The sequence below is a fragment of the Homo sapiens genome, chromosome X (assembly GCF_000001405.40).
Source record: "Homo sapiens chromosome X, GRCh38.p14 Primary Assembly".
NCBI lineage: Eukaryota > Metazoa > Chordata > Mammalia > Primates > Hominidae > Homo > Homo sapiens.
The window spans coordinates 13738366-13765604 of NC_000023.11; the positions used below are offsets into that span (position 1 = coordinate 13738366).

Here is a 27239-nt window from a genome sequence, read left to right on the forward strand (position 1 = left end):
GGTATATACTGTAGTAGAAATATATTTTAATAGCTACCCAAAATGTCTGTTAAACAATATTTTAAGTACACTTTAATTACGGTTTTAAGGACAGTAAAAATCTATTTACATTTTTAAACAATGAATACTTTTTAAAAAATTGTAATTGAATGACCCAGGAACTCAGTCATGTAGTCATTGGTTCATCAGATATTTCAGTGTCATCTGTAAGGCATTAAACATTTAGGCATATCATCTTTGATGTGAAGTACTTAGAAGTTAATTAGATGATAAAGATATTTTATCCTTTTGACCTTGATATGTTTATAGTAATTTATTTAACAGTGTAAGAAAGAGCTTGAAATTTGCTTTATTAGCATAGTTATAATCTTATTTAATCTGAAGGATGTTTCTTAATTTCATATTCAGAAACATATCCTAATTTATCATTTAAACACTGATATAAAAATATGTCTACTTAGTAACCTATTTTTTCTTAAGGTATTTACTATGCAGGATCTATTACAACTCATTAAAATCAACCCTACTTCCAGTCTCTACAAATCACTGGTAAGATGGCTTAGTTTCTGTAATCTACTTTGGTTTGTTAATTATAACTGAATAGCTGAATAAAAGTGAAATATTTTCTTTTAACAGGTTTCAGGATCTGATAAAGAAAATCAAAAAGGTAGGAGCCGTCATCTTTGTAGAGAACAGCAACAGTTTTCTATGTACTTTTTCCTCTAAAAGAATGAAGCAAATTTTTAGGGAGAAGAGTAAAATTTAATTTGATTTAAATTATTTGATTTCTGCAGGTCATTTCCCCTATATTTCCATTTTTGTAATAACTTTTAGATATTCAATTAAAAAAACTGTAGACAGTATCAAAGGCCCTACAGACAGGCTGAAAGATACTGTTTGTAAAAATACCCACTGTTGGGAATATTTCTGCAAAAAAAAAAAAAAAAAACTAATAACTTTTAGGCCAAGTGTCTTTGTATACTAGGTATCCCTCTCAAGTATAATTGGTAGGGTATTAGATGTATTAATATTTCCTTAAAGAATGAGAGTTGTGTTCAGTAATGTGTTATATATCTTTTGTTCTTAAATGTTTATACAGGCCGGGCGTGGTGGCTCATGCCTGTAATCCCAGCACTTTGGGAGGCTGAGGCGGGTGGATCACCTGAGGTCGGGAGTTCGAGATCAGCCTGACCAACCTGGAGAAACCCCGTTTCTACTAAAAATACAAAAAAATTAGCTAGGCGTAGTGGCGCATGCTTGTAATCACAGCTACTCAGGAGGCTGAGGCAGGAGAATCGCTTGAACCCGGAAGGCAGAGGTTGCGGTGAGCTGAGATCACGCCATTGCACTCCTGCCTGGGCAACAAGAGCAAAACTCCGTCTCAAAAAAAAAAAAAATGTTTATATAGACCTAATAAATTGCCTTAATTTTGGCCTTGATAATAGCCATTCATAGAGTCCATAACTACTGTGGGTTTCAGGCCATTGGTTAGACTTGATGATGGGCTTTGTAGCATGAACATAAGCTGGCAACTTGGCTTTGATGCATAGTTATTCTTTAGGTCTTTTAAAATAATCTGTTAGTAATAGTCCTTTTGTGTTGGTACACCCTTGGATTTTGTCTGTTGCCTGCACTATCATCCCCACAAGGACATTCATTTATTCATCCATTCATTCGCCAATTCATTTAGAACTTAATCATTTGAATACTTATTTTCTGCCAGCCATTAAGTCTGTGACTTAATCGCCAAGTCTCTTGGTAGTAATGTTAGCAGAATATAAATAAATTGGAGCACAAGATATTCTGGACTGCCCGCAAACTAGACCATCTCTACTGAAGTTCAGTATGGTAAATGATCCTATATTCTGTACTCTAAGTGTCGTCCAGTGTGACTCTCTGTGATTATGGAAATGTCTGTGTCTATGCTGTTTAATGTGGTAGCTGCTATCCTCATGTGGCTTTTGAGCCTTGAAATGTGGCTAGTGTGACTGGATAACTGAATTTTTAATTTACATTTAATTAGCTACACTTGCATAGTGACTACCATATTAGCATAATTCTGAGGTATATAGCTAGTATCTTTTGCTTAACTATTACTTCAAAAGGAAATTTGTGGCTTGAAGGGATATTAAGAAATAATCTATGGGCCAGGCACGGTGGCTCATGCTTGTAATCCCAGCACTTTGGGAGGGCAAACCTGGCTGATCACTTGAGGTCAGGGGTTCAAGACCAGCCTGGCCAACATGGTGAAACCCCATCTCTACTAAAAATACAAAAATTAGCCAGGCGTGGTGGTGAGTGCCTGTAATCCCAGCTACTTGGGAGGCTGAGGCAGGAGAATCGCTTGAACCAGAGAGGCGAAGGTTGCGGTGAGCCAAGATAGCGCCACTGCACTCCAGCCTGGGTGACAGAGCTGGACTCCATCTCAAAAAAAAAAAAAAAATCTATGTAGTTACTATAGATACATTATCCTTAAAAGTAGTTTTTCCATGGCCGGGCGCAGTGGCTCACGCCTGTAATCCCAGCACTTTGGGAGGCTGAGGCGGGCGGATCACGAGGTCGGGAGAGCAAGACCATCCTGGCCAACATGGTGAAACCCCGTCTCTACTAAAATACAAAAAAAAGTTAGCCAGGCCTGGTGGCGTGCACCTGTAGTCCCAGCTATTTGGGAGGCTGAGGCAGGGGAATCGCTTGAACCCAGGAGGCAGAGGTTACAGTGAGCCAAGATCACGCCACTGCGCTCCAGCCTAGCGACAGAGCAAGACTCCGTCTCAAAAAAAAAAAAATAGTTTTTACACAGTCTCTTTAAATGCATCTGGTTCAGAAAGACATCTGGCCGACAGCCCTTACCAGCTTCACCTAGCATCCCAGTAAAATTTCTGGAAGCCAGAAAAACTATGAGTAGCAGATAGGTCAGGCATCCTAGTGCCAAAATTTGGATAGAACTCTTAGCTAACAAAATAGCTCCTGGTAAGATAAAATTTTTTTAAAAATTGGTGTCTTCTAATTAAGTAACAGAAAACATGTAGGAAGATATTGTGTACTTAACCGTTGTCTGTCCCCTGACTCAGACCTATGGTCTTATCCTACCATATCTATGCTCAGGGGGTGCTAAGCTGTTGAATGGCCTTGGTACTTTTCCTCCTAGATTCTAGTCACCCATTCTTCCCACTGCTAATTTTCCTTTCAGAGATAATGATATCTGTTATGCGTGTCTGTGTGAAGAGACCACCAAACAGGCTTTGTGTGAGGAACAAGGCTGTTTATTCACTTGGGTGCAAGTGGGTTGAGTCCGAAAAGAGAGTCAGTGAAGGGAGATAGGAGAGGGGCAGCTTTATAGGGCTTGAGTAGGCAGTGGAAAGTTACAGTTAAAGGTGGTTATTTATTGTTAGCAGGGGAGGGGGTCCCAAGGTGCATGGTGGAGAGATCTTGGGACTCATTGTCCAGAAGAAGAATGTCACAAGGTCGATTGATCAGTTGGGGCAGGGCAGAACAAGTCATAATGGTGGAATGTCGTAAGGTTGGTCAGTCAGTTAAGGCAGGAGCTGTTTCACTTCTGTGGTTTTTTAGCTGGCTCCTGCAGGCCATCTGGACGTATATATGCAGGTTACGGGGGTTACAATGGCTGAGCTTCGGCTCAGAGGCCTGACAATATCCAGAAAATGATGTGCACAAAATTTGGATGAGGGAAGAAAATTTGGACATCGGCCCTTTGCTTTTTGGAAGTAAAAATTCTTATCTGCAATTGGCAAAAGAATAAGACATATACATCAATGGGGACAGAATTAGGAAGTCCAGAAATACATCCACACAAATATAGTCAATTGATTTTTTTTTTAACAAAGGTGCAAAGGCAATTCAATAGAGGAAAGATAGTCTTTTCAACAAGTGGTGCTGTAACAGTTGGATATTCATATGCGCAAAAATGAACCTAGACACAGATCTTATTTATTATACCTTACACAAAAACTAACTCAAAATGAACCATAGACCTAAATGTAAAATGCAAAACTATAAAACTTCCAGATGAGAACAGTAGAAAGTCTGTGATCTTGGGTTTCGTGATGAGATGTAACACCAAGAGCAAGATACATGAAAGAAAAAAGTAGATCAGTTAGACTTTATTAAAATTAAAAACATCTCTGTGAAAGACACTGTTCTTTTTGTTTTGTTTTTGAGACGGAGTTTCACTCTGCCACCCAGGCTGGAGTGCAGTGGCGTGACCTCGGCTCACTGCAGCCTCTGCCTCCTGGGTTCAAGTGATTCTCCTGTCTCAGCCTCCTGAGTAGCTGGAACTACAGGCGCCTGCCACCACGCCTGGCTAATTTTTTTGTGTTTTCAATAGAGATGGGGTTCACCATGTTGATCAGGCTGGTCTCGATCCCCTGACCTCAGGTGATCGCCTGCCTCAGCCTCCCAGAGTGCTGGGATGACAAGCGTGAGCCACTGTACCCTGCCAAAAGACGCTGTTAAGAGAATGAAAGACCCAGTGTCGAAACCCATAGAGCTTTACGTCATCAAGAGTGAACCTTAATGTTTGCAAATTTAGGTCAGGTGATCCCAGGATGGTATGCAGACTGTGACAAAATCTAATCCCCTTCCTGAAGGGAGTGGGGGTGGGGGAAAAGGTGCTGAGCTAACTACTGTTTTTAGTTCCAAGAAACTAAACATTTCTTAAGTAATTTATGCTTGTGGTTTAAAACAGTTTCAAACTATTCAGAAGGATATAAAGTGAAAGCAAAGTAGCAGTTTCTGCCCATGTTCTCTAATCTCACGCTCCACTGATAACTAGAATTAACAGTTTCACTCCACTGATAACTAGAATTAACAGTTTCTTGTTTATCTTCTAGAATTGTTTGAGGTTAAAACTATGTATTTGTAATTAAAACACAATCAATTGGGATTATATCGTAGATACTGTATGCAATTTGCTTTTTTTAATCCACCAATGTATCTTTCTGTAGCAGTATAGACTAATTATTTTTAAATAATGTATTTAACCCCCTATTGATGGAGATCTGGTTGTTTTATTGTTTGCTTTTTGCCATTACAGGTAACCTATGTGCAGTGTGCACCCTTTGTGCCCTTGTGAAAGTATACCTGTGTAAATTCATAGAAGTGGAATGACTAGATTAAAGGGCACATGCATTTCGAATATATATAAGCACTGACAAATTTCTCTTCCAAGTGAATGAGTATAGCTATATATCCACTCCCTTGCCAACACTTAGCATTATACAAGTTTTAATCTTAGCAGTGTTATAGGGAAAATAATGGTTTCTCTGTTGTATTAATTTGCATTTATGATTTTGTTCATGTTTATTCAGCATCTAAAAATTGTGTTCATCTTTGACAATGTAGTTTTTTCTGCAAACTACCCATGTTTTTCCCCATTTTTCTGATTTTTTTTTTTTAAACTGATTTGTAAGAGTTCTTTGATGTTATGAAAATGTCATCACTTTAGTCTTGGTTATGCCTCCATATTATTGCAACTATTTTTCCCAGTGTGTTATTTTTTTATTTTATGCCATATGTAAGTTTTCAGTTTTTATGTAGTTAGATTGATAAATATTTCTCCTTATTCCTTCCAGGTTCTGTATCATGCTTGGGAAGGCCTTTTCTCAGATTTATTAAAAGATATGACTGGGCACAGTGGCTCATGCTTGTGATCCCAGCACTTTGGGAGGCCCAGGCAGGAGGATTGCTTGAGGCCATGAGTTTGAGACTAGCCTGGGCAACATAGCAAGACCCTGTTTATACAAAAAGTAAAATTAGCTGGGCGTGGTGGGTGGTGGTGTGCACCTCTAGTCCCAGCTACTTGGGAGACTGATGTAGGAGGATTGCTTGAGCCCAGGAGGTCGAGGCCGCAGTGAGCCATGATTACACCACTGCACTCCAGCCTGGGTGACAGAGCAAGACTTTTGTCTCTAAAAAAAAGGAAAGATATATAATGTAAAAAATGATAATGTCCTAAAACTAAGATTGTAAAAACAGTGACTGAGCAGTGGTTGAAAGTTCTGAAACAAAACTGTATGCATATGTTTTTTAGGTTTTCTTATGCATTTTTTAAAAGAATTGGCAGAATATCATCAAGCTAAAGAGAGTTGTAATATGGAAACTCAGACAAGTTCGACATTTAACAGAGATTCTCTGGGTAATTATAGCCTTCTTTCTTAATTTCAGTTCTGCTGTTTTCATTTTGAATGAAGGAAATTATCTGATTTACCATATTGTGTGATTGCTCCTTGAACTGGAGGGATGCAGCCGGCAGGCAACAAGGGAATTCATTTCTGGAATCATCTTGGGGGACCAGGAAGTGCTCTCCAGTGTCATTCCCTAGCCTCATGAATGCCAGGGCTACACTGGCCAAATCATGCAGGGATTCAAAGGCCCATATTCTTCCTTGTTTGTTGAGTTTGACTTCTCTTAACTGGGAGGTTCTTCCTCGTGTCTTGTCTAACTTTACAGCCACCCAGTTAGAAGATTATAAACTACTTGCTTTGCAAAGTACTAGAGAAGTCAGTGACTTATCACTTCATTTTATAGTTGAGGAAACCGAGGTCCTCAGAGGAAGAGCAACTTGGAAACACTCAGTCTGCATCAGAACTAATAGTGGAGTCCAAGTTCTCCCATCCATGATCTGGAGCTTTTTGTACTATCCAGCTGGTCTGCAGTACCATCCTGTCTGTCAGTTTCGTGCTCAGTAGAGATGGGAAATAGCTGTTTAAAACGATATGCTTAATGGATTTCTTGGCCCTTCCTTACTCTTAAATGGTAACTTGCAAGAAGATAAGTTCATAATTCATAAAATGTATTATATGACTATGCCTTTAAGTGTATTTTTAATTCAATTAGAAACATATTACTTGCTAATTATCAAGCAGTGCTGTTCAGTGGTGTGAGCCACATACATAATTTTAAATTTTCTAGTAGCCACGTTGAAAAAAGTAAAAAGAAACGGGTGAAATTTGTTTTAATAATATATTTAACCCAATACATGCAAAATATTATTTCAGCATATATTCAATATAAAAAATACTAAGATATTTCACATTTATTTTTTGCACTGTCTTTGAAATCTCATGTGTTTTTTACATTTAAAGCACATCTCAGTTGAGTCTGGTCACATTTGAAGTGTCAATGGCCCCATGTGGCTGGAGAGTCCTGTGTTGGACAGCATCTGGAAAATACAGAAAAGTAGATGGAAAAACATGTCTAAAGTCATCCCTACCAGAGATAAACACTATCGATGTTTTAATCTACTTCTGCCAGCCTTTTTCCCCTCTGTGCATACTTTTTGGGTGGGCGTTATACACGGTTGAGATTGTACTCTGGGTTCAGATTTGCACTTTGCTATGTGGTTGATTCTGATCCATAGTTGGTTTGAGGGCCATGGACTAAGGGAAGAGTCAGTAGACCTCACTTTAATCCTGGTTATGCTGTCATGTAGTCACTTATTAAGCTATATCAGCATTTGTTCTTTATGTGTAAAGGGGAGGGGTTGATATACGTGATCTTTGATTCTTTTAAAGTTATTGTTTTGAATATGTAAGTCAGCTTTAACCAGAGTCCAATAAAGAGCTCTCTGCCTTAGCACTTAGAGAGTAGGAAGAGACTCCAGTATTTTCTGACTTAAACTGTACTCTTGGCTTTCTTTTTCCTCTAACATTTCATGATGAACATTTTCAAACATACAGAAAAGTTGAAACAATTTTAGCGAACACTTGTATACCCACCACCTAGATGTCACTATTACACTTGTGTTATACTTGCTTCATCATTTTTATCTGTCCATCCATTCATCCACCTTCCTTTTTTTGTATTTCAAAGTAAGTTGCAGATAATCCCTACACTTTCCCCTAAGTATCCTCTTTACTTTTGAACCAGAGGTCTGGCGTCTTACGCACCTGACGATGTTTCTATGTCCTAATTTGATGTGTTATTTTTTAATAGCTGAGAAGCTTCAGCTTATTGATGATCAGTTTGCAGATGCTTACCCTCAGCGTATCAAGTTCGAATCTTTAGAAATAAAGCTAAATGAGTATAAGAGAGAAATAGAAGAGCAACTTCGGGCAGAAATGTGTCAAAAGGTAAGCTTTATCTTGTTACTGTAAACAAGAGTGATGTTTTTGTTTGTCTTCTAAAGTCTTAACCATAGGTATATGGGAAAATATCTAGAACTTTTAATAACGAATGGGATACTGTACTGTTGTGCAAATTTTTTTTTATTTCTGGTGACATTTGTTTATGCCTTTTGAGTGAATCCTACAAATAGAGTGAATGAGATAAAACTAACATGAAATAAATATATTTGGACAGAGCATTAATGTTAAACCTAGATGTAGAGAGAGAACTTGTTCCTGTTTTTATAGTATAATAGTTGGTATTTTTAATTTTTTGTGATCAATTTGCAGTTGAAGTTTTTTAAAGATACCGAGATAGCAAAAATTAAAATGGAAGCAAAAAAAAAGTATGAAAAGGAGTTAACCATGTTCCAGAATGATTTTGAAAAAGCTTGTCAAGCAAAATCTGAAGCTCTCGTTCTTCGGGAAAAGAGTACCCTTGAAAGAATTCACAAGCACCAAGAGGTGGTATTTACAAATATTTTATGGGTGGCTATTTCCTGCAGCTATTAGTAGGTTGGCTCGAGATCCAGCAACAGGATGGTACAGTTGATGGAACAAGGCCCCAGAAGAGCAATAGGGACTGGGGCCAAGAGTGCAAATAGAAGGATGGTCCTTGAAAAGGATACACAAATTTGCTTCCTCTGAGACTGATGGAAAGGCGAGAACTGTGGAGGTGAACAATCAAGTTGGGATTATGAGAAACACACCCTAAATAAGCTCCATCTCCTCAGGCAGATTAGAGGGTTAGATCTTGGGTTTTAGGAGCAGATTGGAGGTGCAGAGTAGTTCCTGTGGGTAAGGGAAGAACAGCCCTTTAAAGCAGAGAGGACTGATCACCTGTATTGAGGGCTCAGCTGTGGTTGGGGGAGCCTGGAATTGAGAGAGGTCAAACCAGGTGCTTGTAAGTGAGTTTTCTGTTCTAGTTCTGGGGAGGATTTGTAAGTATCTCTCTGTCCCTTTCAGTGAGGGTGGAAAGATGGAGATGCTTGGGAAGTAGAGCTTTTCAGAGCCTTATTTGACTAGAGAAAGGCAGCCTACTTAATCGAAGATTCTGGGGCTCTCTTGGGTAGTGAAGGGAAGCAGAGGAGAGGGCAGGTGGCTGCTAACCTAGGGGGAAAGGAAGGGTTGAGTGGCAGTCTCAGTGATCAAGGACTCGATCTGGATAGACTGGTAGGTGGAAGAATGAGGATGGTCCAAGATTACAGAATTGCAGGATGAGGTTTCAGGTGGAGACTAGAAACCAAATGCAGTATGCTGCCATTGGAGAGAGCCATGGAAATGAGCAAGGGTGAAGGTCCCTGGGGTAAAGGAGTCACCACAAGGGTCATCCATGTGACCATTTGATCTTGTCACCCCAGAAAGTAACTGGACAGGAGACAGAGAGGGTGAGGAGTGAGAGGGAGTCCATGTTGGCAAGCAGGATTGGATCTACTCCTTTAAATCATATTCCTTTCCCAAGGGCGTGTCTTAGACCAAACTAGATTTACAGCACTATTTCCAACATACATCCAGAACTACTGCTGTCAGATGTTGAAAGTAGGAATGCTTCCCCCTAGTGTCCACTCTCGCCTGGGGCTTCTCAATAAGACCTAGTTGTTTAATGCTAAGGGCACCCCCTCTAAAATTTTGTATAGCATTTCTGGGAATTGGGTTTGCTTCAGCTATAAAAATGAATGTCAGAAGCACATATCTTTGAGATGATTGGATTGTGTTTAGACTAATAACTTCAACCTTCAAGATAGGTGACTGACTAGATCCCTGTTTATTTATCTGATCATCTGAAGGCTTTGAAGAAGATTGTCATCCTCATAAGAAGCACCATGTCTTTATTCCCTCACCTGGACTGTCCATCCCCTTCTCTCCCTGATAAAAACCATAGTGTCTTTCAAGACCCAGCTTGGATGTCACCTGGGTGATGCCGTCCCTGACTCCCACTGAGCGACCCATTTAGGCCTCATTCCTGCATCAGTCTTTATGTACTTCAGTTACAAAATCATCACATCTTAGTGTGATTGTTTCTCACTCCCTGACTAAATTGTGAGGTCTTTAGAGATGAGGACTATATCTGTCTACCTTTTTATATCCAGTTCCCAGTATGCTGCTTGACATGTCATAGGTAGTTAGTAAATTCTTTCTCTGTGAACACACAAATGGAAGGATGGCCCATTCTTTTAGGAGTTCATATGAGCTTGCTAACTCTGAGTCAGAATGACCCGTGAACTGAAACATTCAGACGACACCACCACTAAAAACCATGGGGATTCAATTCTTTTGGAGTTTTACTGCTGAATGTACATTTTGCTTAATTTTTCTTTCTGGGGAACTTGCCAAAATTTAGGTAAGGGCGCCAGGTGTGGTGGCTCATGCTTGTAGTCCCAGCACCTTGGGAAGCCAAGGCAGGCATATCGCTTGAGTCCAGAAGTTCGACACCAGCCTGGGCAGCATGGCAAAACCCCATCTCTACAAAAATACAAAAAATCAGCCGGACTTGGTGGCGTGTGCCTGTAGTGCCTGCAGCTACTCGGTAGGCTGGGGTGGGAGGACCCCTTGAGCTTGGGAGGTGGAGGTTGCAGTGAGCCAAGATCACCCCACTGCACTCCAGCCTGTGTGACAGAGTGAGACCCTGTCTCAAAAAAAAAAAAAAAAAAATTTTTTTAGATAAGGGACTGAGAGATGTTAAAGAACTAAATAGCATAAATTTCACATGGCATGTTAGGACTGTAGGGTAATGGTAGTTTAACAGTCATTGGGGGAGTAAATTTTTATGCAACTAGAATACGCAAAAAGTATACCTTGAGTCGGAATCTCTTGAAGGTGAAATTGTTATCCTAAATGTCTGTACTTTGCTTTTTGGAATGTAGGAAGCAGTATATTCATTCAAATCTGTTTTGCTTTCATTAGCTTGCTTGCTAAAAATTAATGCTTTTCTATACAGATTGAAACAAAAGAAATTTATGCTCAAAGGCAACTTTTACTAAAAGATATGGATTTGCTAAGAGGAAGAGAAGCAGAGCTGAAGCAAAGAGTTGAAGCTTTTGAATTGTAAGTAATGCATGTTCATTTTGGATATTCAGAATGATGAGATTAAAAAGAATTACTAAATATATATCTAAATATTCTAATGTTCATTGCCAAGTAGAGTTCTTATTTGTAAAGGGGATATCACCTAGAAGGTACAAATTAAGAGGAACAAACACTAGGGTTTTGTTTTTGAAATATTAAACATTAAGATGAAAAGACGAATGAGATGCTATCATCAGGCTACAGTAAGACCAGACAGATTATTTGGAGAAGCTGTTAATACTGGAACAGATCGTATGTTTTGCAGTTACATTCAGTCCCTCAGATCTGATAGTTCCGTGTGTGTATGTATAGTAACTGAATTCCATATATCCAGGCCTGCAGCTTTTACCAGCTGTGTGCTCAGAAAAGGAAGTATGGTGGTCCAACTTGACTTGTACTTGGTGAAACCATTTCTTTGTTACTCACTGTTTCTAAGTGCTCACAAATGTTTCATCCTTGAGATCTTACCTGGGATTGATGGCAAGTTCACCTGTCTATAGTTTGTGCAATAAGCCTTCTCTTCCTTTGGGAATCTGCTATTGACACCCATAGATACTCCAGGAATCTTAGTTCATTAAAGAATTTGGCTCCATTAATGTTTTTTTCTCACTTCTATAGGCTTGATTTGTTTGATTTCAACTCTCTGTCTACCTTACTCTCTTTTTGGCAATAATGAAAAGGTAAATTGATCAAGAGAGAGGAAATAGGCACAAAATTGGGGCAGAGAGAGTTCATCATTCCTTTACCTCCATTTTCTCTACTCTTGTTCCCTCCTTCTCAGCATATAAACTAAATAAATGTAGTTTACCTCTCCATGGCTTTCCAGATTACCAGCAGAGGGAGCTAATACCTAGAGCCTTTACCTGTTCTTAGACTAGTCAGCATTTTGTAGCACTTCTCAGGATGGCTGGATCTCACCACCCATGAACCTACCTCCCTGGCTAAGGAGTTGGTGCTATGGTTGATTTAAAGTCTCACTATGAAGACCATTCTATTCTTCAGTATTTGGAAGCCCTGATTGATCCATCTATCTTTTGCCCTCTCTTTTGGTACTTTTTTCAATATTCAATCAATAGGGTTTTTTGTTTGTTTTGTTTTGTTTTTAAGACACAGTGTCTCTCTGTATTGCCCAGGCTGGTCTCAAACACTTGGGCTCAAGCAATCCTCCTGCCTCAGCCTTCTGAAAAGCTGGGATTATAGGTGCGGGCCACCACACTTGGCTAAAGCTGATTGGTTATTAAATGACAAAAACACATATTGTACCTTGAATATGTATGGACTAATTAATTAAATCCCACAGTTAGAAACAGCATTATAGAAGATTTAAGCACATAAGTACACTTATTTGTTACTTTGTAACTAATAATATCATTATTTCATCCCAGGATTGATTTTGGCTATTTATCACCTATAACCATTGTTTGAGTGTTTATTTTCAGTGAGAAACCACTTCCCTCTTGAGACTCTCCCACTCCCCTCAGCCCAAAGCACAGTCAATTCTGCTAGTTTCAATATGCTGTAACTAGGTCAGTTCATAAAATACACTGAGGACTTCTGGCTCTTTCCTTCTACTTCCCAGTAGTGATATCATGTAGCAGTTTTAGTCTGTGGAACTAGACACATGTGATTTTTTCCTAAATTTGTTAGCTCAGCTATGGTAGTTTATTTACTTTTTATATTTTTGTTAATTTCAGGAACCAGAAGCTCCAGGAAGAAAAACATAAAAGCATAACTGAGGCACTTAGGAGACAGGAGCAGAATATAAAGAGTTTTGAGGAGACCTATGACCGAAAGCTCAAGAATGAACTTCTAAAGTAATTGTTTAGCATTTTTAAATAACTAATATGTTTAAATTAAATTGGTAGAAACATAACAAAAACTGACAAAGTAGTCTGTAACTTAGGCAAACTTTAGTGTTTGAAAAAAAAAAAACATAGTTTTATCGATACAGTCAATCCTTTCCTGCATTTGAGTTAGGATAGTTTTTAAAAGATAAGGGCCGGGTGTGGTGGCTCATGCCTATAATCCCAGCACTCTGGGAGGCTGAGGTGGGCGGATCACCTGAGGTCAGGAGTGCAAGACCAGCCTAGCCAACATGGTGAAACCCCATCTCTACTAAAAATACAAAAATTAGCTGGGTGTGGTGGTGGGCACTTGTAATCCCAGCTACTGGGGAGGCTGAGGCAGGAGAATCACTTGAACCCGGGAGGCAGACGTTGCAGTGAACTGAAGTTGTGCTACTGCACTCTACTAGCCTGCGTGACAGTGACAATCCATCTCAAAAATTAACAACAATAAAAAAATACAGAGAAGCACATCCTCTGCGCTTCTTATGGCTTCTCTAACGTTTATTGTGGGCTGTGATTTGCTTTAATTTTCAGGACACCTTGTGACTTGCTTAGCTTGCATAGTTGATAAGCTGTAAAATTGGAATTATAACCACTTTTAGTTATCTTTTCCTCTACCTCACTCATACAGTCAGAAGGATGGGGTTATCTGACAATATATAAATTATACTAGTGGTCATAGTATTTGTCAGTGAACATGTGCCTTGTATTCCTTCAAGATTCAGCAAAGCCAGAATCAAAAGAGCTAAAATTAACTATGTGAGGCAAAAAGTGATATAGGGAAAGGAAAATATGGACAACTATGGTAACTTTGGCTTTTCTGTAGTCTGAGTTTTGTGTATCAGTGAATAATATCTCAGTGCTACGACATTATGCCCATGTGGTAACATTTCTCTTCAGTGTGTGGGAAAGCATCTGGCACATAAAAAGTGCTCAGTTAATATTTGTTGTAAATGTGTCACGAGGAAATGATTCAACTCAGGTGCTCTGGGCATTTCTTATTTGGCCTCTTTTATTGCCTTTCTCATAATTTGTCATCGATATTCCATTACATAATATTGCAAAGGTTTCTTGAGGTAATCCTTTAAACAAATCCTATTTTTAAAAAATATGGCAGCTTTTTTATCTATTGATTTTGAAATGATGTATTTTACCCACATCTTCTATGTCAGTTTCTATACTAAAATAGCTAAAATGGAAGTGTCTGTAGTTGCTGAATTTTTAGGAATAAATGAATTAAAGTATGTGTGTTAATTTTACATAGTTATGGAGCTAGTGAACTATTTGGTGTCATTGTGACAGCTTCCACAGGCTGCATGGTGTCTGCCTGGCTTTGGGAATCCTCATATGACTTTGGCAGGTGTTGGAGTTTGGAGGCTCTTCGCCACAGGAGTGCTTCTATTTCCTTTTGGAACCAAAAGGGCAGCTGGTAACAGCTGGGAAAGGGAAGTGAAACTGTGAAAATGTGCCTTTTGGTATTGCTAATCCGGATATAATGCTCTTGGCAGTTGGCTCTCAGGACTGTGCTTAGTCCCTGAGCACAAAAGTTCTTACCTTGGTTGGGGGTGGGCAGATGGTACAGGTGGATTGGAAGTGACCGTCTGATTATCATTTGGGATTGAGTCTGTTGTGTGCTGTGTAAATTTAATTTACCCCTTTGCTCTTTGTGTCAGTTGAGACCAACTGAAAAGTGATTGCTTTCAGTAAGTAACCTTATGATAACACGACGCTTCATTTTGTGTGATTGAGTTTTGGGACCCAGTTTATAGGATCAAGGAAGGGTTTTACTGGGCATTTTATGTTCAGGGGTTATATCCCTGGCTTTAGTATTGAGGACTTTGAAGTTTACAAGTTGTCATGTTTAGCACCCTCAGGTGCTCCTGTGCCATAGATAAGCTCCTGCACTGATAACAGTCTTTCCAGAAAAATGCCTGAGGAGCTCATATTTAGTCATTCTGATTCTCAGGTATCAACTTGAACTGAAGGATGACTACATCATTAGAACTAATCGACTGATTGAAGATGAAAGGAAGAATAAAGGTGATGTTTGGGGGGAAAATAAGCTGTATTTTTCAGTTCTGCTGTAGGTTATTAGCTTCCCAAGTTGGGTCTTTTCTATATTCTAAAAAATACAGCTTACACTTCATTGTTCATACAAAATTACACATTTTTTGTAATTTTAATTTTATAAATTAAAAATCATGGTCTTCACTGCCTTTTGAGGAACCTTCATGTTTAATAGTTTGTATATTCACAAAGGCCAGTGATTTATCATGGATATTTTATCCAACTTTATTTCATATATTTTGATAAATCTGCAATTGTCAGGAACGTAGCAGCAACTTATTGCTGTCAAGTACGTATTACTCCTAACCATGAGAGACTTTATTTTTCACTTACGGAAAACTTTTAACTTCTCTGTCCTCTGTGACCTAGTTTCTTATTTCTTTTGCTTCTAATATATTTTTATGCTTTATAATATTTTTACTTGATGTATAACCTTCTGAACTCTTGTGTACATTGGCCTGAGACTATGGAAGTTGAATAATTTTTCAATCTTCAGATGTTTTACATTTCAGTGTATTTTTTTTTTTTTTTGAGACGGAGTCTCGCTCTGTCACCTAGGCTGGAGTGCAGTGGTGCGATCTCGGCTCACTACAAGCTCCACCTCCCAGGTTCACGCCATTCTTCCACCTCAGCCTCCCCAGTAGCTGGGACTACAGGCACCCACCAACACGCCCGGCTAATTTTTTGTATTTTTAGTAGAGGCGGGGTCTCAGCGTGTTAGCCAGGATGATCTCGATCTCCTGACCTCGTGATCCGCCCGCCTCGGCCTCCCAAAGTGCTGGGATTACAGGCGTGAGCCACCACGCCCGACCCATTTCAATGTATTTCTAGGAAATTGCTGTAACAAGAAGTTGAAGTTTTGGTGGAAATTTCAAGTAGATTCCTGGGAGGAAACCAGGGTTAGATAGTTGATGTTGACCAGATACCCAATGTGTGGCTACTGTCTTTTTTTTTTTTTTTTTTTAAGAGACGGAGTCTTGCTCTGTTGCCCAGGCTGGAGTACAGTGGCACAATCTCAGCTCACTGCAACCTCTGCCTCCTGGGTTCAAGTGATTCTTGTGCCTCAGCCTCCCAAGTAGCTGGGACTACAGGTGTGCGCCACCATGCCTGGCTAATTTTTGTAGAGAGAGAGTTTCACCATGTTGGCCAGGCTGGTCTCGAACTCGTGACCTCAGGTGGTCCGCCTGACTTGGCCTCCCAAAGTGCTGGGATTACAGGCGTGAGCCACTGTGCCCAGCCCCTTTTACTATCTTGTGGAGACTAATACTTCTTTTATGCATTAATACCATTACGTATGTAACAAATTATGGTTTGATGATATATCTACATAGACTTGTGTTAGATGAAGTGAAAACTACAAAATAGTAACTACAATATAGTAACAGACAGATCTTTGTCTTCAAGGAAGTTAAGAGCTGTGGGTATTAGGGCCCTGTGCTTTGAGCACATGGTATAACTCTGGTTAGCATGTATAGCAAGTGGAATTTCACCACATATATGACAGTTACAGCTTCACATCACCTGTTGGGTAACAGGGTTTATTTCTTACTTGCCCGCTACATCTGCTATTTGGATTGTGAAATAGTGGTCATTAGGTCTGACATACTGGCCATAAATATTAAATGGCTTTTGTATTCACTAGGAAAACATTATGGTGTTTAATTGGTGGGCTCTTTTTTCAGAAAAAGCTGTTCATTTGCAAGAGGAGCTCATAGCTATTAATTCAAAAAAGGAGGAACTCAATCAATCTGTAAATCGTGTGAAAGAACTTGAGGTAATTGTTAAGCATGTTGGTTTTTGAAATAGATTTTAAGCAATATATGAAATTTTAGTCATACATAATTTATCCTAAGTCATCCTGTTGAGATGTTTGGACTGCCATTTATATGGCTAAGAAGGTGTTAGCTGAAGTTAATTCAATAGTTCTTAATTTCAGTCAGTGTCACATAGGAAAGTGTAGATAGAGCTTTGGGTCCTGGAGTCCTGCCCACATCCTGTCTGTGTCTCTAACTGCTTGTGTGTCGCTAGGTAAGTTCTGTGACTGCAGGTTCCTGAGCTGTAAACTAGGATGTTTTCCACATTATAGGGTTGTTGAGGGAATTCAGTAAGCTAACTTATGTGCCTAGTTCATAGCAGGTGGCCATTACTATTAGTTTCTACATCAGCCTGTTATCTCCTTCCATCAGCAGCAGGTAAACAAAATTCCTGTCATTACATTGTTATCTTACAGATTAAAACAAAATGAGGTACATTTTTCACATATCATTGCTTCTTTACTTTTCTGTTCATTCGTGTGCTTGCTGTCTGAAGGATGAAGCTGGAACTTTAGGTACTTACAACATATTTTGTATATGAAATTTATTTTAGCAACTGTGACTTATGTGAGAACTTTGTAGGCTTTTTACTCAAATATGAGATATACTAAGAAAAGGGAAGCACTTCACAACATTTTACAGAATCTTTTTTCCTTTCTTTCCCTTTTTTTTTTTTTTTTTTTTTTGAGACAGAGTCTTGTTCTTTCGCCCAGGCTGGAGTGCAGTGGTGTGATCTTGGCTCACTGCAACCAACCTCCACCTCCCGGGTTCAAGTGATTCTCATGTCTCAGCTCCCAAGTAGCTGGGATTTCAGCCATGTGCCACCACACCCAGCTAATTGTTGTATTTTTAGTAGAGATGGGGTTTCACCATGTTGCCCAGGGTGGTCTCGAACTCCTGAGCTCAAGCAATCCTCTTGCCTCAGCCTCCCAAAGTGCTGCGATTACGGGCGTGAGCCACCATGCTCAGCCATTTTTATCTTACCTTTCATATTTAAAAAATATATATTGCTATGATGTGTGATTATTGTTGGGTTCTTGGTTGCCTCTGGAAAATGGGATGATAATCTTAGAAGGACTTGCTTCATGGGATGCGGCCTATAAAAGTTCTGCCCCAACTGTAGGGCGGAAGATAATTTTCGTTATTGTAGTTAGAGTCTTATTGTAGAGAATCAGACTTCTGTCTAGTGACCTTAATTAAATTGTGACACCATGCTTAAAGGAGCCTGCCAGCTTTTACTTTTGCAGTACTGTAAAGTCATTATTCAAATGTAAATTTTCCTTTTTGAATTTTAGCTTGAATTAGAGTCTGTCAAAGCCCAGTCTTTGGCAATAACAAAACAAAACCATATGCTGAATGAAAAGGTTAAAGAGATGAGTGATTATTCACTACTAAAAGAAGAGAAACTGGAGCTTCTGGCACAAAATAAATTACTTAAACAACAACTGGAAGAGAGTAGAAATGAAAACCTGCGTCTCCTAAACCGTATGTATTTTTCTTTTCTTCTGACTTGCGTGTTTTAGTAATTCGCATTAGGTCAGTATTATAAAACTATGCTTTGTACTTGTATAAGGTAGGGGGCTTACATTGGGAAGATTTATAAAATTAAGATTCTTGGATTAAACTCTGCAAACCTGCCTATAGGTGGTATCAAAGCTTCCCTTGCCCTCTGACTGCTGATTGGGTTTGGCCAGTGGGGACACCAGCCTCTACATACAGTGGCCCTAGGCTGGCCACTGTGCCTCATGGCCAAGTGAGGCCATAGTGCCTGCGATTACCTCTTCCAAGTGCTCTGCACCACCACCCTGTCTCTAGTGCTGAGAATTTCTCCCTCCTCTGATTCCCCAGGCCCAAGGAGCGCTAACAGTATGGCCCTGTTACTAGCCCACCCAGGGAACTCCACCATCCTTTGTGCATACCCTGAATAAGTCAACCTTTATTAAAGGGTTCTTAGATGACCTTGACCGTGAGAGCCATCTGCCTTCTGCCTGGATCCCAACTGCTGCTGTCAGATGCCCAGATCATATTGGATCCCAGGGCTGTCATCAACAGGTAGACCAGATAGAGAGCTCCTTCTGTGCACAGTAGAGGAGAGAAACAGGCTTTCAGGTTAATTTGAGAATTTGAAAGAGTTCTTTTACTTGGAGTAGGACTCCAAGGGTAATAAAGTTTGCATTAACATGCACTAAATTCTTTTGTTGTGAAATTTGAGAGTCAGGATTGCTCTGAGCTCATTTAATAGAATTATTATCATATTTATTGAGTCAGTACAAAGCAAAGAACACTTTAAAACCCCTTTAACTGTTTTTGTTAAGTTAAATAAGAAAACTTAAGGTTGGTAATGACTAGGATTTTTTTTTTTTTTTTACCTTCTTAGGCCTAGCTCAGCCGGCTCCTGAACTTGCAGTCTTTCAGAAAGAACTACGGAAAGCCGAAAAGGCTATAGTGGTTGAGCATGAGGAGTTCGAAAGCTGCAGGCAAGCTCTGCACAAACAACTGCAAGACGAAGTGAGTATTGCTCTTCTTCAGTTCTAGTGTGATACCAGTACACTTCATAGTTACGTAAACTTGGCACAAGTCACACTAGTGTAAATCAGATTTATTTTAACATCAAACATTACTCCCCCAAATATGCTAAAGGTATCCTTTCTCATCTGAGAAAATTCTGCAGTGATAACGTGACTTTATATTCGTAATAGTAATAAAATGGAGAAGAAAGCAAACTCACCTAAACATAAAATTTTCTGAGTGCCTGATGGTGCCCACTGTTATCTCTCGATTCTCACCCTGATAAGTATTACAAACATTCACTGTCTTCTGATTTCTGCCTGCATGCCCTAGAGTTCTTTGATATGACTGAAAAAGATGGTGAAGAACTTGTTTGTGTGTTCTGCTTGTGTTTTTTTTTAATAGGGACCCTGTTGTTTACTGTCATAAAGCTTCTTGGAATTGGCAGAACAAAAAGAGTACAAACATGATAAGAGAACTTTTCCTTTTGAAGCAAGCTGTGATTTGTTTTACATTGATTTCTTTTCCTATTCTGAATCTTTTCAGATTGAGCATTCTGCACAGCTGAAGGCCCAGATTCTAGGTTACAAAGCTTCTGTAAAGAGTTTAACTACTCAGGTTGCCGATTTAAAATTGCAACTGAAGCAAACTCAGACAGGTTAGAGACGTTTTAACCCATAAATATTTTTGTATGTATAAAGCTTCTGGTGTCTGTGAAAATGTAATGATCATAATTTATTGAATATTAATTATTGTTTTAGGGGAAAAGCCATAGAAATATGTGTCATCTTAGAAGTAAAACTCCCTATCCATTTTGGTAATACCATCTGGATCATCAGCAAAAGTATTTTGCTTCATAGGTGCCTCATGGCTTGGGAGAGTCTCATGCCCCAATAGGAAAGGCGTGGTGGTAACATAGAAGTCCCCATATTCATTATAGGATTTCCTTTTTTATTTGTTACCCCAATGTTAACACCAATTCAGTAGTTTTACGGATTCCTTGATAGATATATAAATATACAGGACAAGCAGGGTGGTTTAGCAAAAAGAATATTGCCTTCAGAATCAGAACTGTTCTTCTTTTGGACCCGTTTTGAAGTTGTTTGACCTTGGGCATGTTACTTTAACTTCCTTGGGCCTCAGTCTCCTCATTTGTAATGGGGATAATAATACCTACTGAGCCATGATGAAAAAGATGAAATGGGTTTCAGTCCAGTGCCTGGGACATAAAAGACACTCAGGAAATGGTTATTGGTATCATTTTATTATTGTGTCTTCACTGTGGATGCATCTCTGCCCCTTCCTACTTCGTAAGAAGGATATTAAAGTTCAGATACTTTATTCTTCAGTTGCTTTCAAGTTCAAAGAAAGTACGTATGTGTTACCAGTTCAACTGGGTCTGAGCCTTCCTTGTTCCCACCTGCATTGTTTCCTCATCAGCTCCTTGCTCTCTTCTACCAGCACTTGTTTTATTTTTATCTCTACTCGTTTCTGCTTTTTTCTGTTCCTCATTTTCTTTCAGTTCTGTTTGTGAAACTTCTCACAGCTGAAATCATAGCAGTCTCCTATCAATAAAAAATAGTTGAATGAGGATAGAACTCTTTCGCATGCATGTGTTGCCGAGGGCAAGCTTCTTTCTTGTAGCATCACGGGGAGGCATTGCAGGAGAGAGGGGCAGGTGCACTGGCTTTGCATTAGGAAAGCCCAGTAGCTCTTAGACTTGCTAACCGTGTGACCCAGCCTCAGTAAGCTTTAGTCCCCCCATCTGTAAAATGGGAGCAGTGAGAGTTTCTTGACCACAGTGTTGTTGTGAATGCAGGTCCTCACTTCCTTATATGAAACTCGGGCCATATGCTGTGGATTTCGCAATAGCCCTGGGAGTTCTGAACAGCATCCTATAGTAAAGCACATTAATTATTTTGCAGTCAACTGTATGAATATTCATGCTGGGATAAATAAAGATTATAAATGGGTTTACATCAGTTCAGGTCAAACTTTTCAACCAAATGAGTTCAAGTCTGGTTGGGCTTTGCCACCAAATAAATTATGAATAAATTTTCAGTTCTCAGAGCCTTGTGGCTTTCAAAATTGTGCATAATGGATTCTGAAATTATATCATGTTACAAAAGACATACAAAGCTGTAGCTGGTACAATAAGCTCTCAGTAAATGTTAGTGGTTATCGTTACCATGGCTTCAGAAACTGTATAGTGCAAGTTTGTCCTTATTACTCTCTTCCATTTTTCAAAAAAATAATATTCTCAAGTATATTTTCTTCTCTGCCTTGTCCACTTACTTCTGAAATTGGCTTTTTGTACCCTGCAGCCCTAGAGAATGAAGTGTACTGCAATCCAAAGCAGTCTGTGATCGATCGTTCTGTCAATGGATTAATAAATGGCAATGTGGTGCCTTGCAATGGTGAGATAAGTGGGGATTTCTTGAACAATCCTTTTAAACAGGAAAACGTTCTAGCACGTATGGTTGCATCAAGGATCACAAATTATCCAACTGCATGGGTGGAGGGTAGTTCCCCTGATTCTGACCTTGAGTTTGTAGCCAATACTAAGGCAAGGGTCAAAGAGCTTCAGCAAGAGGCCGAACGCTTGGAAAAGGCTTTCAGAAGTTACCATCGGAGAGTCATTAAAAACTCTGCCAAAAGCCCACTAGCAGCAAAGAGCCCACCATCTCTGCACTTGCTGGAAGCCTTCAAAAACATTACTTCCAGTTCCCCGGAAAGACATATTTTTGGAGAGGACAGAGTTGTCTCTGAGCAGCCTCAAGTGGGCACACTTGAAGAAAGGAATGACGTCGTGGAAGCACTGACAGGCAGTGCAGCCTCGAGGCTCCGCGGGGGCACTTCCTCCAGACGCCTCTCTTCCACACCCCTTCCAAAAGCAAAAAGAAGCCTCGAAAGTGAAATGTATCTGGAAGGTAAGCCACCCGCACAAAGGGTTGCGGGGTGCTCTGGAGTTGGGTAGCCACCCTGCCCACGACACAGGGTTGCCGTGAGGGTCAGCGGGCCAGAGTGGCAAGGTCTAGTGTTTGGCACACAGAGCTGTTTAGAGAGTGATAGTTGCCTTGCCTTTGCTGCCTGTTGGTTTCCTGCATTTTATTATTGCCACTGCAATTTAATTTAGGTGCTTGAATCATTAGTTTTCTGGATCTTATGCATCATAATTGGCTATTTGTGAGGATAACAGTTTATTTTCAAACTAGTAGAGCTCTTTAGAAACCACGTTGGTATCTTCTCCGTGCAATTGGTAATATTCTTGCCTTGGTTCTTTCTGCACCTTAGGTCTGGGCAGATCACACATTGCTTCCCCCAGTCCTTGTCCTGACAGAATGCCCCTACCATCACCCACTGAGTCTAGGCACAGCCTCTCCATCCCTCCTGTCTCCAGCCCTCCGGAGCAGAAAGTGGGGTAAGTATAACGTTCTGATTGATTAGCTTCAGCTGAATAATGTTACTTGCTCTGTCAGCCTTCACTTGTTTTACTGGGATTTTTTTTTTTTGAGATAATTATTATAGATCATGTGGCAGTATAGAATTTGCAATCAGATTGCAAAATGATATGTCATCTTTGAGAATCATCTAAATTACCTGGAGGGAAAAAGATTGCTTTTAGCAAATAAGTGGATAATGCTTATTTGCTAAACTTGATATATGGACCATGCAATCTGGTATTAATAAGCATCTTCCTAGTTCTGTGAATAGATTTGGTTTATTAAGATAAAAAACAAATGTACAAAATCTGAAAGCAAACAAATGGAGGTTATTTATAAAGTTGGAACAATTTTACACATCATTAAAAAGTCATTTTTAAAATATTTTGGCATTGAAATATAAACAGATAAGGTTCTGACCTGCATATCATTGAAATAAATTCAAACGTGGTAGCAGGCTCTGGTGTATGATTGTTGAAACAGGAAGGAGTGGATGTTTTTAGAAACTAGTCCACTGGGTCAGCCAGGCTATGATTTGAGTCATGAGCAGACTCCTACCCATACCTGGGCCCCACAGCAGAGGGAACTGACTCCTTAGCTCCAGGCTCGATCTCGGGCATCTGCATGTTAATGTAGTTCTCTGCCACATGGGCCTGTCGTAGTCCTAAAGCTTTTTTTTTTTTTTTTTTTTTTTGTGATAAGCCAAAAGGAAGGATAAGACACACACATATGCTGAGTTAGGGCGCTTTGCTCACTCAAGGTTGTGGTGTTGCATCTTCATCTGGTTCATGCTGATAGTGTGCAGAATTTTTTTTCAGAAATGTTTTATGGTTATTTCCTAGGAATAGCATTCAGAGTACAACATTATTCTTTATTAACAACTGTAGTACCTACTTCACAGCATGAAATAGTTACAAGGAGTAACTGATTAAACAGGTATTAATTGCTGAGAACAATGCCTAGTGGTGGTGGTGAGGTGGAGCTATTTACAAGACAAAGAGAAAGGGAATTTTGTAGAGCCTTTTCTTGAGTCACAAAAGGCTTTTTGTCACCTTGTACTCTTTGGTTTTCCATTATTGAAACTTCACGAGTTTTATCCTTCCAATCTAGTCTTTATCGAAGACAAACTGAACTTCAAGACAAAAGTGAATTTTCAGATGTGGACAAGCTAGCTTTTAAGGATAATGAGGAGTTTGAATCATCTTTTGAATGTAAGTTCAAATATAAATACCAGTTTTTATATGTTGAAAATCTAGAAAGCTTAGTTTTGGTGAAACGTATCCATTGGTTTAAAAAGAAAAGCAGTTACAAATTGGGTCATTATTATTTTGTGATACAACCACAAGTACAGATGTATCACCTCATTTTTCTACCATGATGATTTTCATGTGTGTGTTTACTTTTTAAAAATTTCAGTATGACTAATAATTTCAGAGTTTGAGCTAAGCTTATAAATGAATTATTAACTTATCAGATTTTAAATAAGTGATTTTTATTTATTTTTTCCTTTGATGGAATACAAGAATGTTTATTTTTATTTTTTTGAGATGGAGTCTCTCTCTGTTGCCCAGGCTGGAGTACAGTGGTCCGATCTTGGCTCACTGCAATCTCCCTCCTCCTCCCAGGTCCAAGTGATTCATCTGCCTCAGCCTCCCGAGTAGCTGGGACCAACCACAGGTGCATGCCATCACACCCAGCTAGTTTTTTTGTATTTTTAGTAGAGATGGGGTTTCACCATATTGGCCAGGCTGGTCTTGAGCTCCTGACCTCAAGTGATCCGCCTGCATCGGCCTCCCAAAATGCTGGGATAACAGGCATGAGCCACTGCGCCCGGCCTAAGGATGTTATTTTTTAAATATACTGATTCAGTTGATTGCCTCAGATTTAGAAAACCTCATTTTTAGTAAAAGAATAGAGATAAAAGAATATTAAGAGTCCAGAAACTGGTGTCCTGGCTATGGCCCTGCCTTAGACTGTCTTACTTTGTAGCCACTTTGTAAGTGTAAAATAAGCATGTAGAGCCTATCATCTCTAAGGTTCTTTCCAGCTTGAGAAATCTTTATATTTGCATATAAGCTATTGGTTAGCCTTGTAAACTTCATCTTCAAATCTGAAAGTGTTAATATTTTGAACAGTTAAATGAGAGGGCTTGGTAAATTTTGTAAATATTTGTTAAAGTCTTTGTGTTAAATCATTGATATTTTAATAGAATTCAAATGATGATCAGCAAGCCAATTGAATTCTTCACTGTCACTGGGTTGATTTTCCTGTTGGGTAACGAATCTCATTTTGTAAACAAAGTTAATTCTTTCAACTACGAGAACACTCTGACAAGCAAATACGTTGCCAAGTGGTTATGTTGGGAACTTCATAGAATCCTGTTAGGAAAGGGCGCACCCAGTTACTTTGGCTTCAGTTCCCGTGCTCCAGTCAGTTGCCCCCACACTGCACTGCCCTTCTTTGTCTTGGTGTTATTATTAAGGACTCATGGGACAATTGTGCCTCATGCAGCTGCAGGGAACATGCCAAGGCAGTTGGAAATGGGCGGGCTTTCTCCTGCCGGGGATATGTCTCATGTGGACGCTGCTGCAGCTGCTGTGCCCCTCTCATATCAGCACCCAAGTAAGTTCTTTTTTTGAACTAACAGTCAGCAGGGTCGCATACTAAATACCAGTCCGTGTGCTCTGTGAATTATTTCATGTATCACTGAAGTCATCTTGTAGGTGTAAATTAGTCAAAATCTTGGGTTGGGGGTTATAGGTGTCATTATATTGTTAATGACATTTCTGAAGTAATTCCCATGTGAACATGTAAAGACAGTGCTGAGAAAGGACACGTTGGAAGGAAAGGCTTCTCATTTAGGCTTCCCAGGCCAGTTGCTTAAAAAGTGTTTTCATTTACTCTTCAGTGCCTGGCATAGTAGTTGGACTTTTCCCCAAGACTCTTCTGCAAAAACTGTTCCTTGGGAACCTTAAAGTTTGGGAAATCACAGTGAAAAATTGAAATAATAATTAACTCCCAGCATATATCTTTAATATGATTGTAACATTTAAATATTATTTATTTTTCTATCTACTTGTTTCCTTTGTGTCTTAAGAAATTAGGACAGAAAAACTTCGTATTTCAATCTTTGGAAAAGCTGTGACACCGAGTTAGCGTAGCACTGGAGGAAAACTGGCCATCAGACTTCTCTTCTCTGGCCCACTTCCTCTTTTTCCTCTTCTCCTCCAGATTACCCACTTCCCTCCCTGCGGGTGGAGGGAGACGGGAAGAGAGCCGTGGGAGCTTTGTGCTTTGTTCCAGGGCTCAGCCAACAGCCAGGTCCTTTTCTTCTTGGACCAAGTGTTTAATCCTCAAATCTGAAAGGAATTTTCTCAAGTAAAGCCACCTCTTAGTCCCTCCCAAACGTTGGAAAAACATCATACCCAAAACCCCTGTTAGCAGTTTCTTGGTTTTAGTCATGGTACCCAGGAACATATAAAATAACTGAAAGAGGCAAGAGATTTTGAGAGGGTTGATGTTGCTGATTCCAGAGTAAATCTGCTTTGGAAAGCATTCAGTGAGACATGATCTAGAGCCTTGTCTCTGCTGGGCACTTTGCTCAGCGCTGAGCATATAGCTCAAGCCCTCGCCTTCCTGGATTTCTAGCAGGGGAGGCAGATGGTCAGCAGGCCATCACCCAGGACCGCAGCAGGGAGGGGCTGCAGCAGCTGAGTAGGGGCCGTGGCCACAAGAGGGAGTGTCTACAGGCACTCATTTGGCACAGACCTGAGCGAGGGAATACAAATAATGTGATAGGATAAGGGAAATCAACTGAGTAACTAGGTGTTCTGCTGCTGAGATGGAACATAGATTATAATATTTGCTTTAAAAATTATTAAGCAGCATGGCGAGTGACATTTTAGTTATTGAGAAATTGTTATATTTGTCATTTCATCTCTTCATCTGGGCACAAAGGGAATTCAAAAAGGTTGAAATTTGGTGTCTCGGAGGTGCCCCGTGGACATGCTTCCTTCCTTTCCCCTTGTGTCCAAGAGATTTCTGTATACCACCCTGCAGCTACAAAATATACACCAGAGTAGAGAAGCAGCTCACTCTTCCTCTTTATTTTGTAATTGGTGCTTAAACAACATTCCTATTTTGAGATTACTATTCCATATAAGAAAGCAATCTTGTTTAGGAGTAACTATTTTTTCTTCTCTAGCAAGGAGGAAGTTGCATTTCTGCCTGTGGAAATGATCAGCTGTCTCCTCTGGTATTTTAATTTCATGAGAAGGATTCAGAAGAGATGGGGGAGAGAGAGAAGAAACTGTGTTGCTTCTCTCCTATTAGTAAAACTCAGTTCCTGCTGATCACTTTAGAACAAGGCAC

General features: G+C 39.7%; 1 protein-coding gene across 21 annotated transcripts in view, besides 3 other annotated features; it reads left to right on the forward strand.

Annotated features, from left to right (window-relative positions):
- The window catches only part of OFD1 (OFD1 centriole and centriolar satellite protein), a 59234-nt gene that overhangs the window by 23861 nt on the left and 8134 nt on the right, over nucleotides 1-27239 (forward strand). For 5 of the 21 annotated variants that reach the window (XM_047442584.1, XM_047442583.1, XM_047442591.1 and 2 more), the window contains exons 4-19: nucleotides 481-549; nucleotides 637-667; nucleotides 6050-6154; nucleotides 7954-8090; nucleotides 8415-8588; nucleotides 11062-11168; nucleotides 12884-13003; nucleotides 15003-15076; nucleotides 16786-16877; nucleotides 18213-18402; nucleotides 19295-19425; nucleotides 19972-20083; nucleotides 21750-22355; nucleotides 22720-22846; nucleotides 23979-24079; nucleotides 25380-25490. In XM_047442584.1, coding sequence (XP_047298540.1) covers nucleotides 481-549; nucleotides 637-667; nucleotides 6050-6154; nucleotides 7954-8090; nucleotides 8415-8588; nucleotides 11062-11168; nucleotides 12884-13003; nucleotides 15003-15076; nucleotides 16786-16877; nucleotides 18213-18402; nucleotides 19295-19425; nucleotides 19972-20083; nucleotides 21750-22355; nucleotides 22720-22846; nucleotides 23979-24079; nucleotides 25380-25490 — 2287 coding nt within the window. The other 16 variants (XM_047442588.1, XM_047442585.1, XM_047442593.1 and 13 more) reach the window with 9 other exon arrangements.
- Nucleotides 17113-17182: a silencer, noted in NCBI's record as "silent region_20669". NCBI's record gives its function as "represses an Ori minimal core promoter by ATAC-STARR-seq in GM12878 lymphoblastoid cells {active_cell/tissue: GM12878}" and the evidence as "EXISTENCE:reporter gene assay evidence [ECO:0000049][PMID:35858748]".
- Nucleotides 20989-21078: an enhancer, noted in NCBI's record as "active region_29445". NCBI's record gives its function as "activates an Ori minimal core promoter by ATAC-STARR-seq in GM12878 lymphoblastoid cells {active_cell/tissue: GM12878}" and the evidence as "EXISTENCE:reporter gene assay evidence [ECO:0000049][PMID:35858748]".
- Nucleotides 22385-22884: an enhancer, noted in NCBI's record as "H3K4me1 hESC enhancer chrX:13778869-13779368 (GRCh37/hg19 assembly coordinates)". NCBI's record gives its function as "activates a minimal SCP1, AML or CMV promoter by ChIP-STARR-seq in naive H9 embryonic stem cells {active_cell/tissue: H9 hESC(naive)}" and the evidence as "EXISTENCE:reporter gene assay evidence [ECO:0000049][PMID:30033119]".